Source organism: Homo sapiens, chromosome 8 (genome assembly GCF_000001405.40).
Source record: "Homo sapiens chromosome 8, GRCh38.p14 Primary Assembly".
Classification (NCBI taxonomy): domain Eukaryota; kingdom Metazoa; phylum Chordata; class Mammalia; order Primates; family Hominidae; genus Homo; species Homo sapiens.
Window position 1 is genome coordinate 98,618,801 of NC_000008.11, and position 15,414 is coordinate 98,634,214.

Genomic DNA, 15,414 nt, shown 5'->3' on the forward strand with positions numbered 1-15,414 from the left:
AAGGAAATAGAAGAGGATACAAACAAATGGAAGAACATTCCATGCTCATGGGTAGGAAGAATCAATATCGTGAAAAAGGCCATACTGCCCAAGGTAATTTACAGATTCAATGCCATCCCCATCAAGCTACCAATGACTTTCTTCACAGAATTGGAAAAAACTACTTTAAAGTTCATACGGAACCAAAAAAGAGCCCGCATCGCCAAGTCAATCCTAAGCCAAAAGAACAAAGCTGGAGGCATCACACTACCTGACTTCAAACTATACTACAAGGCTACAGTAACCAAAACAGCATGGTACTGGTACCAAAACAGAGATATAGATCAATGGAACAGAACAGAGCCCTCAGAAGTAACGCCGCATACCTACAACTATCTGATCTTTGACAAACCTGAGAAAAACAAGCAATGGGGAAAGGATTCCCTATTTAATAAATGGTGCTGGGAAAACTGGCTAGCCATATGTAGAAAGCTGAAACTGGATCCCTTCCTTACACCTTATACAAAAATCAATTCAAGATGGAGTAAAGATTTAAACGTTAGTCCTAAAACCATAAAAACCCTAGAAGAAAACCTAGGCATTACCATTCAGGACATAGGCGTGGGGAAGGACTTCATGTCCAAAACACCAAAAGCAATGGCAACAAAAGCCAAAATTGACAAATGGGATCTAATTAAACTAAAGAGCTTCTGCACAGCAAAAGAAACTACCATCAGAGTGAACAGGCAACCTACAACATGGGAGAAAATTTTCGCAACCTACTCATCTGACAAAGGGCTAATATCCAGAATCTACAATGAACTCAAACAAATTTACAAGAAAAAAACAAACAACCCCATCAAAAAGTGGGCGAAGGACATGAACAGACACTTCTCAAAAGAAGACATTTATGCAGCCAAAAAATACATGAAAAAATGCTCATCATCACTGGCCATCAGAGAAATGCAAATCAAAACCACAGTGAGATACCATCTCACACCAGTTAGAATGGCAATCATTAAAAAGTCAGGAAACAACAGGTGCTGGAGAGGATGTGGAGAAATAGGAACACTTTTACACTGTTGGTGGGACTGTAAACTAGTTCAACCATTGTGGAAGTCAGTGTGGCGATTCCTCAGGGATCTAGAACTAGAAATACCATTTGACCCAGCCATCCCATTACTGGGTATATACCCAAATGACTATAAATCATGCTGCTATAAAGACACATGCACAGGTATGTTTATTGCGGCATTATTCACAATAGCAAAGACTTGGAACCAACCCAAATGTCCAACAATGATAGACTGGATTAAGAAAATGTGGCACATATACACCATGGAATACTATGCAGCCATAAAAAATGATGAGTTCATGTCCTTTGTAGGGACATGGATGAAATTGGAAACCATCATTCTCAGTAAACTATCGCAAGAACAAAAAACCAAACACCGCATATTCTCACTCATAGGTGGGAATTGAACAATGAGATCACATGGTCACAGGAAGGGGAATATCACACTCTGGGGACTGTGGTGGGGTGAGGGGAGGGGGGAGGGGTAGCATTGGGAGATATACCTAATGCTAGATGACGAGTTAGTGGGTGCAGCACACCAGCATGGCACATGTATACATATGTAACTAACCTGCACAATGTGCACATGTACCCTAAAACTTAAAGTATAATAAAAAAAATAAATAAATAAATAAATAAATAAATAAAAAGGTCAACATCAAAAAAAAAAAGAAGATGTCTCAAGGGAAATTAAAAAAAATACACTAAACCGAATAAAAATGAAAATACAACAAATCCTGTTAAAATTTGTAGGACACATGCTGCTACTTGAAGAGCCTAGACAAAGAAGAACAAAAATAAATGCAAGACAAGAAGAAAGAAAATAATAAAGAGTAGAAATCAATACAATTTAAAATATGAAAAAAGTTAAAAATATCAATGTAACAAACAGCTATTTTAAAAAACACACACACAAGAAATTGACAAACCTCTTCCAAAATGACAAAAAAGACAAAAAGAGTAGTAAAGTTTCTAAATATATTTTTGTTTTTTAAGCAACTGTAAATGGTATTGCATTTTTAACTTCAATGTCCATGAATTCATTGTTAATGTACACAGAAAAACAACTGATTTTTTTTTTTTTTTTTTTTTTGAGACGGAGTCTCGCTCTGTCGCCCAGGCTGGAGTGCAGTGGCGGGATCTCGGCTCACTGCAAGCTCCGCTTCCCGGGTTCACGCCATTCTCCTGCCTCAGCCTCCCAAGTAGCTGGGACTACAGGCGCCCGCCACTACGCCCAGCTAATTTTTTGTATTTTTAGTAGAGACCGTTAGTATTTTTGTATTCACCGTTTTAGCCGGGATGGTCTCGATCTCCTGACCTCGTGATCCGCCCGCCTCGGCCTCCCAAAGTGCTGGGATTACAGGCATGAGCCACCGCGCCCGGCCAACAACTGATTTTTATATCTTGCATCTTGAAACCTTGTTGCGCTTACTCATTAATTCTATGAGTTTATTCATTGGTATTTTCTATGTAGAAAATCATATCATCTACAAAAGGAGATGGTTTCATTTCTACCTTTCCAATCTGTATGCCTTTTCCTTTCACTTCTTGCCTTTTTGAGCTGGCAAGAACTCCCAGTACTGTGCTGAATGAGTAGTGAGAGTGAACATCGTTCCTGTTCCCAACATTAGGGGAAAACATTCAGTCTTTTACCATTAATTATGATGTTAGCTGAAAGGTTTTTATAGGTATTCTTCATCAAATTGAAGAAGTTATCTTTATTCCTATTATTCTGAGATCATTCAATACCGTAAATGGGTGCTGAATTGCATCAAATTTTTTTTTCTACATTATGTGACTTTTCTTCTTTAGTCTGTTAATATGGTGCATTACATTGATTCAGCTGAATGGTACTCTCCCCACCCAACAACCCAGCTGTCTGTATGTTCTTAAGGTGGAAGCTCAGAGTGTTGTTTTTTTTAACACTATGACCCTGAATAAAGCAACATATCTATATAGCTAGTCCCAGAATCACTGGTAATTGCTTACATAAGAAGCTCCGTATGGCCAGATGATACAGATTGTGGACACATGAGAAAAACCTTCTTGTTGCAAGTAAAATATATCTGTGGCTGAGAAAAAAAGACCGTCAAATGAAAAATTCTACATACAAAAAAAAAAATCAGACATTGGGCACGGTGGCTAACGCCTGTAATCCCAGTACTTTGGGAGGCTGAGGCAGGCAGATCACTTGAGGTCAGGAGTTCAAGACCAGCTTGGCCAACATGGTAAAACCCTGTCTCTACTAAAAAAAAAAAAAAAAAAAAAAAATTAGCTGAGTGTGGTGGTGCATGCCTGTGTTCCCAGCTATTCGTGAGGCAGGAGAATCTCTTGAACCCAGGAGGCAGATGTTGCAGTGAGCTGAGATTGCGCCACTGCACTCCAGCCTGGGTGACAGTATGAGACTCCATCTCCAAAAAAAAAAAAATTGGATTTTTTTGGTTTACTTTCCCTGATTCTATTAATCACTGAATACAATAAACCAAATACTAAATAGGATTAGTTATGACTCATAAATAAACATAAGGATGTATATTACATTGCCATTCATTCATTGTATGTAAATTTCCTACAGCTAGACTATAATATACAGCTTCCCAAAGCAATCTAAAAGTAACAAACTTTAATGATATAGCACAACTGAAGTTTGGTATAGTAAGTGCAAATAAGTATTGCAATGACAATTCATCATGGTAAACTCAAGGGTCTGTAAAAAATCAAATTATCGAGGACCGAGTTCAAGAAGAACTATATTAATACATAGATTTCTGTAACTTGGCAGAGAATTCCCTACAATTGCTACATTTAAAGTAATCAACACATTTCTATATCTCAGAAGAAGACGGAAATTATGTGTTCGCCTATCCTAATGTATTAAACTTTTATTACAATAGTTTTAGTATATTTTTAGCTTAACATTAAGGTAGAAACATTCTATCAAACTAAGAAATAGAAATTGCTCTGAAATTGCAAAAACCTGTACTATTTCCCATTTTAAAATCAGAAGGATTACTTCTACAGCATTTAATTGTTACATCTTACAATAATAAATTACATGGGACTAATATGCATAATAGAACACAACGGTAGTAGTAATAATGATTGAGCAGTAGTATATTTACATACCGATAAAAGAAAACCCATGTAGAAGAAACTGAAGAAAATAAACGCTAGAGTGAACAAATGATGAGTAATGCTCCAAAATACAAGAAAAAGAAAGAATGGGATACAGAATAGAGGTTGAGAGATTGGACTTGAGCAGAGAAGGAACCCTCTTCCTCCACATGGAACATATTGTGAGGGAGGGAAGAATAAGATGAGAAGGAGGAGAAAAAGAAACGAAGAAAAAATAAAGGGAAGGAAGAAAGGAAGAAAGAGAGGGGGAAAAAAGACATAAAGGAAGGAAGGAAAAGTATAGATATTGACTGTTACGGACTGAATTGTGTCCTGTCCCCCCACCACCACCACTACCAAATTTTATGTCAAAGCCCTAATGCTCCATGTTACTGTATTTGCAGATTGGGCCTTTAAAGAGGTATTAAGGTTAAATGAGGTCATAAAGGTGGGGCTCTAATCCAATATGACTTGTGTCCTTATAAGAAGAAGAAGAGACATTAGGAATGTGTACATTCAAAACCAAAGGCCAGGGCTGGGCACAGTAGCTTATGCCTGTAATCCCAGCACTTTGGGAGGCCAAGGCAGGCAGATCACTGGAGCCCAGGAGTTTGAGAACAGCCTGGGCAACGTAGCGACAGCCCGTCTCTACAAAATATACAACAATTAGCCAGGCATGGTGGTGTGCACCTGTAGTCCCAGCTACTCAGGAGGCTGAGGTGGAAGGATCATTTGAGCTCAGGAGGTCGCGGCTGCAGTGAGCTGTGATCACACCATGACATTCCAGACTGGGAGACAGAGCAAGACCCTGCCTCAAACAAAAACAAAAACCCAAAGGCCATGTGAGAACACACAGAGAAGGCAGCCATCTGCAAGCCAGAGGGAGACCTCAGAAGAAACCAGACCTGCCAACACCTTGATCTTGGAAGTCCAGACTCCAGAACTGTAAGAAAATAAACTGTTGTTGTTTAAATCACCCAGTCTTTAGCATTTTGTTATAGCAGCAGGAACAGACTAATACATTAAGTTAGACGGAGGGACAGAAACAGTGAACTGCTAATAGTCTCCAGTTTTTCTTTGGACCAGAAAGCAAGTCTGACAAAACCAAGGAGAGATGGGGTAAAGAAATTTTGCAACAGACCCAGAAGAGAATGAGGTGGTAGGCGTAGGGGAACATGTGAAAGGATTGCCAACTGTCCATTTCAGATTAGAAATCAATCTTTTGGGGGCATCAGTCTTCACAGTTACATAATTGCAGTTAAGCAGCCTGGTTACGAGGAACACAGCAAAATGGGAAAGGTAAAAACCTTTGAGGTTTTTTAAGTCTGAGTGATAACCTAGCTCTATCAGTGTAGCTGTGTCTTGGGTTGTTATCTAGAGTTATAATAATGATAGTTACATAGAGTGTGCCAATAATAATATCTACTCCTTTTAGAGTTGTTTTAGAGTTATGTAAAACTTTATCATAGAGTTGGTCAGATAGTAGACAATAAATAATAGCTACTATACTTATTACTATGGGATTAGTGTAGTATTGGTACATTGTTAGGAAGATACAGCAAAAAAGAGAAGGAAAAAAAGGAATTAAAAGAAAGTGGTTCAGCCGGGTGCGGTAGTTCATGACTGTAATCCCAGCACTTTGGGAGACCAAGGCGGGTGGGATCACTTGAGGTCAGGAGTTCGAGACTAGCCTGGGCAACATGGTGAAACCCCATCTCTACTAAAAATACAAAAAATGAGCCGGGTATGGTGGCAGATACCTGTAATCCCAGCTACTCGGGAAGCTGAGGCAGGAGAATCACTTGAACCTGGGAGGTGGAGGTTGCAGTGAGTTGAGATCGTGCCACTGCACTCAAGCCTGGGCAAAAAGAGTGGAACTCTGTCTCAAAAAAGAAAAAAAAAAGAAAGTGGTTCAAGTGACAGAGTAGAGTCTTGGCTAGATAGAGGAGTAAAGTGAATGCCTGAGGATACTGACAAGCTGGAAAACAGGAGGAAAAATAAGTTAAATGGCCTGAGGATGAAGTCCAGTTGAATTTTAAACCCAAGAAAATGAGAAAGATCGAAAGATTGGTAATTAAAATAAAATCCTCCAGAGAAGACTGCTGAGTGTGAATCAGCAGCTACTTCTTATATGTAACACCACAGAGAAACATAACAAAAAAAGAAAGCCAGCTAAATGGTCGTGGCCTTGTCATTAGCTAGCAGTGTATCTTGAAAGAAGGCGCTTAAACTGTGAGCCTTACTGCTATTTGAGGATTACTGACAAATTACCTCTGGTTTCTCCTTTATTCCACTTCCACTGTACCCTCTCTCCGACAACACACACATACACACATACACACTCATCATTATAGTAAAGATCAAGAAAGGCAGTAAACAAGAGCAAAGATCTGGAAAGAAGGCACATTTTCAAAACTGACATTTGTCTTGTGCATCCTCCCACTTCCCTTTTCCCTCTCCCAGTCCCACCTCTACAAGCCCAAAAACCCCAGCTCTCACTGCTGGCTCTGCTCCCAGAAAAAGCCCAAAGTGCCATGTTTCTCTTTGACCTTTCTTCCCTCCCTCCCACCTATTAAAACTTCCACTGAGTCTATCTCAGTTTAACAAGGGAAAAGGCAAACTGATTATGCCTTTTCATAATGATGCCAGGATGAACAGTAACTCATCTGTGCTTAAACCTCCCAAGTGTGTTTGGCTTAAAAATTGAAACGAATCTATTTGGCAAAATTTCAGGCAGAATGGAAAGGGGATAATTTGGGGCAAGGAGATTTTCTTTCTTCCCTGTTTTAAAGTTGTGAGGAAGAAAAAGAAGTGTTTGTCGTAACTGACAACAGACAACCACCACAGAAAAAACATCCACAGCAGCTCAGAATGCTAGACTGCTACACTTAAGGGTACTTTTTAGGTGTACAGGCCTGCATAGGATGCTGAAGTGGGGGGCTTATGATAGCAAACATGAGGAAGCAATCTACCCTACTATAACCCTGAAAAAAGTGGTTCAGAACCATCTACCACGTCATGGTAATGACTCTCTTTTCTCTTCCCTTTATTACAGAGGCTGCCCCTCACCCTGCCCCCCAGATGCTCCCCTGATAAAAGGAGGTGGGGAAAAAGGAGGCAGCCATAAAGGCAGCAGCAGGAGTGAACTCTCCATCTTAGTTATTTCCTGTTAGAAGTGGGGAAAGAATCTGCAGCATAGAAGCCTTAACAGAAGCCTGAGTATAAAGCAAGAAAATAGCTGTAGATAGAATCACATGAAAAAGTGACTATACAGGAAAAGGTGCCATTCAATGAGAAAAGGGGGAAAAGTATCACTGAAGAAAAGAAACACTCTCTTCCCAAAAAAGGTAGAAATACAATCAAATGTTTCAGAGCAGGGATCAGAAAACTTCGGCCCACATGCCAAATCTAACCAGTCTCCTGTTTTGGTAAATAAAGTTTTATGGGAACACAGCCACACTCATTCATTTATGTGCTGTCTATATGGCTACTTTCACATTATAATGGAAGAGCTGAATGACTGCAGCAGAGACCATATAACTTGTAAAGACTAAAATATTTACTATCTGGCCCTTTACAGAAAAAAGGCCCTGCTTTAGGAGGTCAGGGGTAAGAAGGGGACTGAGATGAGGCCATCGGATTTGATAATAAGTGATCTCTGGCAAATATGAAGAAATAATTTAAAAGAAGTTTAAAAGAAACTAAATGTATTCTAATAAAGTAGAGACAATGAGGATAAGGTATTCTTTCAAACAGCCTCTAGGAACAAAGGAAGACTACATGCAAGTCTGCATGGGGAAATAAGAAATTTTCTTGATCTCACCAATCTTCCTCCTCTTGGAGTCACTCTCTTTAATCACCAACCAAACAGCTTCCCAAACTAGAAACTGCAGAATTTTGGTAAGTGATTCTAGCTCCACACTGCTTTCTGTATCCTCAGTTCCAGGTGCAATGCTTAGTATACAAAAGATAATGTTTGTTGAGTAAAACAATTTAAGAGTACAGAATGTAGAGAGAAAAGATTGAGAAGAGAGAAAAAAATTCTGTCCCCACTTCATACCTGGAAAAACATTCCATGCCACCTCTAATGGCTATGTGGCTTGGACTCAAGTCTTAAGAGTCATCATAGGCCAGGCGCAGTGGCTCATGCTTGTAATCTCAACACTTTGGGAGGCCAAGCCCAGCAGATCACTTGAACTCAGGGGTTCAAGACCAGCCTGGCCAACATGGTAAAACCCCGTCTCTACTAAAAATATAAAAATTAGCCGGGCACAGCAGTACATGCCTATAATCCCAGCACTTTGGGAGACTGAGACAGGTGTATCACTTGAGGTCAGGAGTTCAAGATCAGCCTGGCCAACATGGTGAAACCCTGTCTCTACTAAAAACATAAAAATTAGCCAAGCGTGGTGGCATGTGCCTGTAATCCCAGCTACTTGGGAGGCTGAGACAGGAAAATCGCTTGAACCCAGGAGGCAGAGGTTGCAGTGAGCCGAGATCGTGCCACTGCACTAAAAAAAGAAAAAAGAAAAAAAAAAAAAAAAAGGTCTGGTTATTTAAAAGAGCCTGAGACTCCTCCCCTTTCTTTTGCTCCTGCTATCACCATGTGACATACTCATGCCCCCACTGCCTCAGGAAGTAAAAGCTTCCTGAAGCCTCACCAGAAGCCAAGCAGATGCTGGCATCATGCTTGTATGACCTGTAGAACTGTAGGCCAATTAAACCTCTTTTATTTATAAATTACCCAGCTTCAGGTATTTATTTATAGCAATGCAAAAACAAGCTAACACACACACAGCAAAGCCTAAGATTTACATCTATGTTTACTACCAAAAATTTTATAGATTTAGCTGTTAAATTTAGGTCTTTGGTGCATTTTGAATTAACATTTTTACAGGGTATGAGGTTGGAGTCTAATTTCATTTTTGTACATGTGGGTATCTAATTGTGCCAGCACACTATGTTGTTTTAACATCAAATGAGAAAATATATAAGATAATTTGATACTACAAATATTTGTGGTTGTTAAAATTCAGGTACTAAGCAAACAGCTCAGTAGAATACTACAACAAACATGTAACCTAATTCTCCTGTCTCTAGTTTCTCCTTTAATATCTGTTTTATATCTGTGTAAAACACAGTCCAGTAATGCAACAACTCTACATAAAACTAAAGATACCTACTGCTGACAGAATTAGAATTTCTGGAAATTCTGAGACAGAACTTGCCCCTGATTTTTCCAGTTTATACAAGCTATCCACAATCCTTCGCTCATGGCCTCCTTCCTCTCTTTTCAATTTTCCAGGCTCATCTCTTACCATTGTTCCCAACCACTTGGTCTGGCTACACAATGTTACTAGACACATCTGATGTGAAGTACTCTTGAAAGACTCTGTAGATTACTCATGCTAGACTTTTGGCTTTCCTTAACCTGGGGGTTCCCTGAAGCAGAAAGAATTTTATTTATCCCTATATTCAAGAGTCCAGGAGAGTGCCCAACACAAAGCAGGTGTTTCATAAACACTTGCTAAGTTAAAGGAATACACAGGCAGGCATGGTGGCTCACACCTGTAATCCCAGCACTTTGGAAGGCAGAGGTGGGAGGATCACTTGAGGCCAAGAGTTAGAAACTAGCCTGGGCAAAATAGCGCAACCCTATCTCTACAAAAGTAAAATTTTAAAAATCAGCCAGTCCTAGTGGTATGTGCCTATGTTCCCAGCTACTCAGGAGGCTGAGGCAGAAGAACAGCTTGAGGCCAGGAGTTCAAGACAGCAGTGAGCTATGATCACACCACTGCACTCTATCCCAGGCAATAGAGGAATATCCTGTCTCCACTCCCCTCCACACTCCAAAAAAAAAAAAAAAAAAAAAAAGGAATGTGCCTATAAATGGAAGACAGTGACGAAGGTAAAGGAATAAAGTAGACGAAGGCAACAGGTTTGGAAAACATTAAATCATCTTGTTTGGCAGGAAAAATTGTCTATATAGGGGGATGTTGAGAGAAGCCTGGAAACCTGGATGGGACAGCAAGAGTAAAGGCCAAGTGAGGAATTTGTACAGTGATAGTTTTTTAGGGTAACTTGATGGATTTTTAGACACAGATTATACCAATTCTCTTTTCCCCCAATAAGAGATTTGTGACTTTGGCTAAATTATTTGACTCAGAAAAGACTCAAGTACTTCATACACAAAATTAGACTAATCTCTTTAGTATGATAGGCTCAGCTGGTAGGCCCATCACCCTAGACACAGAAGAAAAAAATAATCATGCTATAATAAGGAAGCTTGACAGTCATTTACGAGAGTTTACCAACTTTTGAGCAGTGAAATCTACTTTCCAAATAAACTCATACATGGAACCCTAGTACAGAAACCTTTTTTAAACCCACAATAATTGAAAGGGGCATGAAAAAAACTGGAGACCCCACACACCCACCTTCCTTCCTCTCACAAACATTGGTTCATATAATCAAGTGGACTTCAAATCAAATATGGGGAACCCTAAACACTACTTTAGAACATGGTCAAAAGTTTACTAATCTAGAGGGATCCAGGTAAAGTCATACAACCAAGATTCCCCTTTGTGGCTACTGATTCGAAAATAAATGCTAGGGAGGAAACAAAGATAAAAACTAAAGATGGAAAGGAAGGTCCTACTGTAATTTTCCTGACCAGACCAATGGAGGGCATAAACTAGGATGGTAGTATTAAAAAGACAGAAGCCAAGCAAATATAACATACAGAAACTGTTTTCACTTTGTTTTCCGTATTCTTGATGGGAACCATGCTGACCCAGGAGAGACTGCCCCTCCCAAGGCTAGCTACTTCTTAGACAGCAAACTACCCCTCCTTGAGTGCTTTTCGCATGCAAACCACTCAATCTAAAACTACCTCCCATCCATCCCCAGTATTCAGCTCTCACAGAACTCTTATATTCTGGGACTATTAGAATAGTCCCCTGTTCTAATAATCACGCCAGGGCCAGGTATCAAACAACTTGGGGGCTGCTCTTATATGTGACTATGCCGACATTATTAAAACCAGCCAATTCTAAGCCTCCTTACCCTGCCTCGCCTGTTCCTTCTCACTAAAATCATGATAAAGGCTCTCCCCCATGATTTCCCTAGCTATTTCTGCCTCCTAAACAACCCTGGTGCTTCCCTATGAGCACTATGTGGCGTGGCATATATGCCACCCTGTCTGATGTGCCATGCCCTCTCCACTTAGAAACTGTATCAATCTTTTCAATGGCAGTTGTCTCCTGACGTGTTAGTTTCACCATATTTGAATAATAATATAAACCACATTTTAAAAATAGTTCAGGACCAAGCACCAAACAAACAGCACGTACTTAGAGAATAAAATGTGAAGTATTAAGAATCAGTATTAAGGCTGGGCATGGTGGGTCATGCCTGTAATCCCAGCACTTTGGGAGGCTAAGGCGAGAGGACTGCTTGAGCCCACGTGTTCGAGACCAGCCTGGGCAACACAATGAGACCCCATCTCCACAAAAAAATTTTAAAAATTAGCAGGGGTGGTGGCACACGCCTGAAGTTGCAGCTACTTGGGAGGCCAAGGTGGGAGAATCACTTGAGCCTGGGAGGTCAGGGCTACTGTGAACCCTAATGGCACCAGTGTACTCCAGCCTGGGTGACAGAGAGGAACAGAAGAAGAAGGAGAAGGAGAAGGAGAAGGAGAAGGAGGAGAAGGAGGAGAAGGAGAAGAAGGAGGAGAAGGAGGAGAAGGAGGAGAAGGAGGAGAAGAAGGAGAAGAAGGATAAGGAGAAGGAGAAGAACAAGAAGAAGAAGAGGAAGAGGAAGAGGAAGAAGAGGAAGAGGAAGAAGAAGAAGAAGAAAGAAAGAAACAGTATAAAGATGAGATTTTCTAGTTATGAGAGATGCCAAAGCAGAATGTTTTAAGAGATAAACCTGACATATAGTAAACATTTCTTTTTTTTTATTAAAACACATTAACTATAAATATGTTTAACATCATTTCTTATCTTCATCATTCAAGATATCTGAGCCAAAAACCTAGGCCAAAAATCCTGACTCTCATTTACATTCCACATTTAGATAATCAGAAAATACAAATATCCAGAATCTGGCCACATCTCAACAACTTTACCTTTACTACCCTGGTTCAGGCCGCCATTATCTCTTACCTGGACTACTGAAGAAGTAACCTCCTCACTATTCACCTGGCTTCCATTCTTGTCCTGCTACAATCCCTTCTCAATGAAGAACGAGCCGTTTAAATCACACATCAGACCATACCATTCCTCTGCTCAAAACCCTGCAATGGTTTCCTGTTTCACTCAGGGTAAAAGCTAAAGGTCCTGCCGTGGTTTATGAAGGCTCTAAGTGATCTGGTTCCCTGCCATCCCTCTGATCTCATCTCCTACTTCTTTCACCATCTTATCCAGCTCCAGCCACTTAAACCTCCTTACTGTTTCTAAAACATCAAACACAGTCACACATCAGTTTACTCTGACTAGAACGTTCTTTCCCCAGAAATCTGCATTGCTCATTTACTTAGCTCCTTCACATCTCTACTATAAGTCACCTTATTAGACAGGCCTTTCTTGACCATCCTACATATAATATCACAAACATATCTGTCATTCTGTATCCCTCTTATCCTGCTTTTTCTTCATAGCTGTTATCAGTACCTGATATGCTATAGTTTTCGTTTTTTTGTGTGTTTTTTTCCCGAGACAGTGTCTCACTCTGTCTCCCAGGCTAGAGGGCAGTGGCACGACCTCGGCTCACTGCAACCTCCGCCTCCTGGGTTCAAGCAATTCTCCTGCCTCAGCCTCCAAAGTAGCTGGGACTACAGGCATACGCCACTATGCCCACCTACTTTTTGTATTTTTAATAGAAAATGCGTTTCACTATGTTGGTCAGGCTGGTCTTGAACTCCTGACTTTGGGTGATCCACCCGCCTCAGCCTCCCAAAGTGCTGGGATTACAGGCGTGGGCCACTGTGCCCAGCTTTTTGTGTGTAATTTACTGTCTTTCCCCACTACAAATAGGTACCTAAGAGATTGGAACTTTGTTTCATTCACTGTTATGTATGAGTGCCTAAAACAGTGTCTGAGCAGGCACTCAATAAATATGAAATAAATTAATATACCAAAGCCTTTCTGAGGGATTTACACTTGTACTGCTCAAAAATCCATAAACCTCGCAAAGAGACAAAACTGGATCACTAGTGGTAATATATAAAAATGTAAAAATAAAAATGTAGTCTTCTAAGAAAGATAGAAGGCTTGACAGTAAATGATTAACTACCAAAAGAATAAAGTATAAATGAGAGATTGGCGACCATGTGAACTCACCTCAAGAGAATAATAGATACCTACAAATGAACATGTGAAAAACTTTATAATAAAACTATATAATTAAGCACAGAGAATAAGACTATCTTGCCAAGATTTGCTAACTTGGCAAACATCCATATTAAACTCAGCTTCCCCAATTCCAGATACAAATGAAATTGTGAATTTGGCAATTCACTGGAGAGAAAGACTGCATTACAATCTAGGTTCACATTAAAGTTACCTCATTCTTCTCAACTTAGATCTGACGCAGAGGAAAATTTTTAACAGATTCTATTGGACATATGCCATACTATAGTCAGTAAAGTTCAACATTAACATTTTAGATGTTAACCTAAATGATTTGTTTTCCTAAAACTAAACTGCACTAAAAAAATATGCATTATGAGTATAAAATGAATTATTTTAAATAATATTTTGTCAAAGAAAAAGCAATTTATAACACCAGTCCTTCCCTCGTATTTTGATTTCATTCATGTAGTGCCTCACCCACAGCTGAACACATGGTAGCACTCAAGCTGTTCACTGATAAGAGAGAGAATATTCTTTCCTTCAAGGTTTATTAAATATAGATATGTCCACCTCAACCTTCCCAGTTATTAAAAAATGCAAATGAAAATTATGTACCCCAAATTTGTATATAAATGTATTAATCATTTATTTAATAATTAGTATGTCATAAAGCGTAGTATTAGATACTGAAGACACAAAATAAAAATTACACATGCTGCTATCAATAACTTCATAATGTGGTAGAGAAGTCATATAAACTATAACAGAAGATGATAACTTGTATGGTCTTGGGGCACACAAGATGCAAAGGAAGCCCAGAAGAAAAGTTCCCAAGATAGAATGTGTAGAAAAAAGATGGGAGAAAATGCAGGCATAAAGTAACACTTAGAAGAAGGCAGAGGTAAACCTAACACTACCTACAAATGATAGTATGGCTAAAGGAAAGGAAATATCACATGAATAAAGATGTATGCAGAGCCCAAGGTCTTACATGACACCCTTAAAAATTTGGCTATTAATGGGGAGGATCTTAAGTAAGACAGTAATATGAGTTGTGTTTCATTTAAGATGATCAATCTAGCAGCATCATGAAGTTTACTTTAGAGAGGAGATTGAGACTGCAGATTATTAAATCAGTTGGTACTGATCCAGAAGAAGGTAGAACGATGGCGGTGGCGTTGGCTTTGCCAGCTCAGGACTGAGTGCAAGTAACAGAGAATCAGCCAGATTCTCCAGAGGCTCTTCAGGTTCTCCTCTGTCTTTCAGTCAGCAGTCTCAGTCCATTTGCGGAGGAACATTGGTGTTACAGCAGTGGCGTTTAATAAGGAACTTGATCCTGTACAGAAACTCTTTATGTACAAGGTTAGAGAATACAAATCTAAGTGACAGACATCTGGAGGATCTGTTGATACTGATCCAGAGTACCAGCAAGAGCCAGAGAAGAAGCTTTTTAAGCTCAAGCAAGTGTATGGTAAAGCAGACATGAATACATTCCCTAACTTCAAATTTGAAGATCCCAAACTTGAAGTCATCAAAAAACCCCAGGCCTGAAGAAATAAAGTAAAATTAACCTGGTAAGTTGTCAAGGGTTAGCTGTACAACTAGCTAGAAGTTTCAGAATAAACATACATTCACAACTGTCAAATGTTCTTTTAATCTCGATTCCAAATAAATTAGTTGGTGATGTGGAGTATTAAAAAAATCTGGAAGGAAAAATAAAGATGTGGACGAAAAGAAGGGGATATTACTTGAGAGATATTAAGAAAGTTACAGAGATGGGAACTGGTGAATAATGAAAACTTGAATCAGCACAGTGGCAGTGGAGCTGGACAGGAAGGAGGGAAGGAAACATCAACAGGACCTGGTGACTGATTAAAGGCAGAAGATTGGGCC

The 15,414-nt window shown here is 39.6% G+C and overlaps 1 protein-coding gene and 1 pseudogene across 18 annotated transcripts in view; one reads left to right on the forward strand and one right to left on the reverse strand.

The window, feature by feature from the left end:
- STK3 (serine/threonine kinase 3) overlaps positions 1 to 15,414 on the reverse strand; it is a 598,636-nt gene that overhangs the window by 274,826 nt on the left and 308,396 nt on the right. The gene's annotated exons all lie outside the window — the stretch shown is intronic.
- On the forward strand, positions 10,162 to 15,166 carry ATP5PFP3 (ATP5PF pseudogene 3; annotated as a pseudogene). Its single transcript, XR_007060780.1, has 2 exons — positions 10,162 to 10,212; positions 14,737 to 15,166. The product of XR_007060780.1 is annotated as an ATP5PF pseudogene 3 (transcript).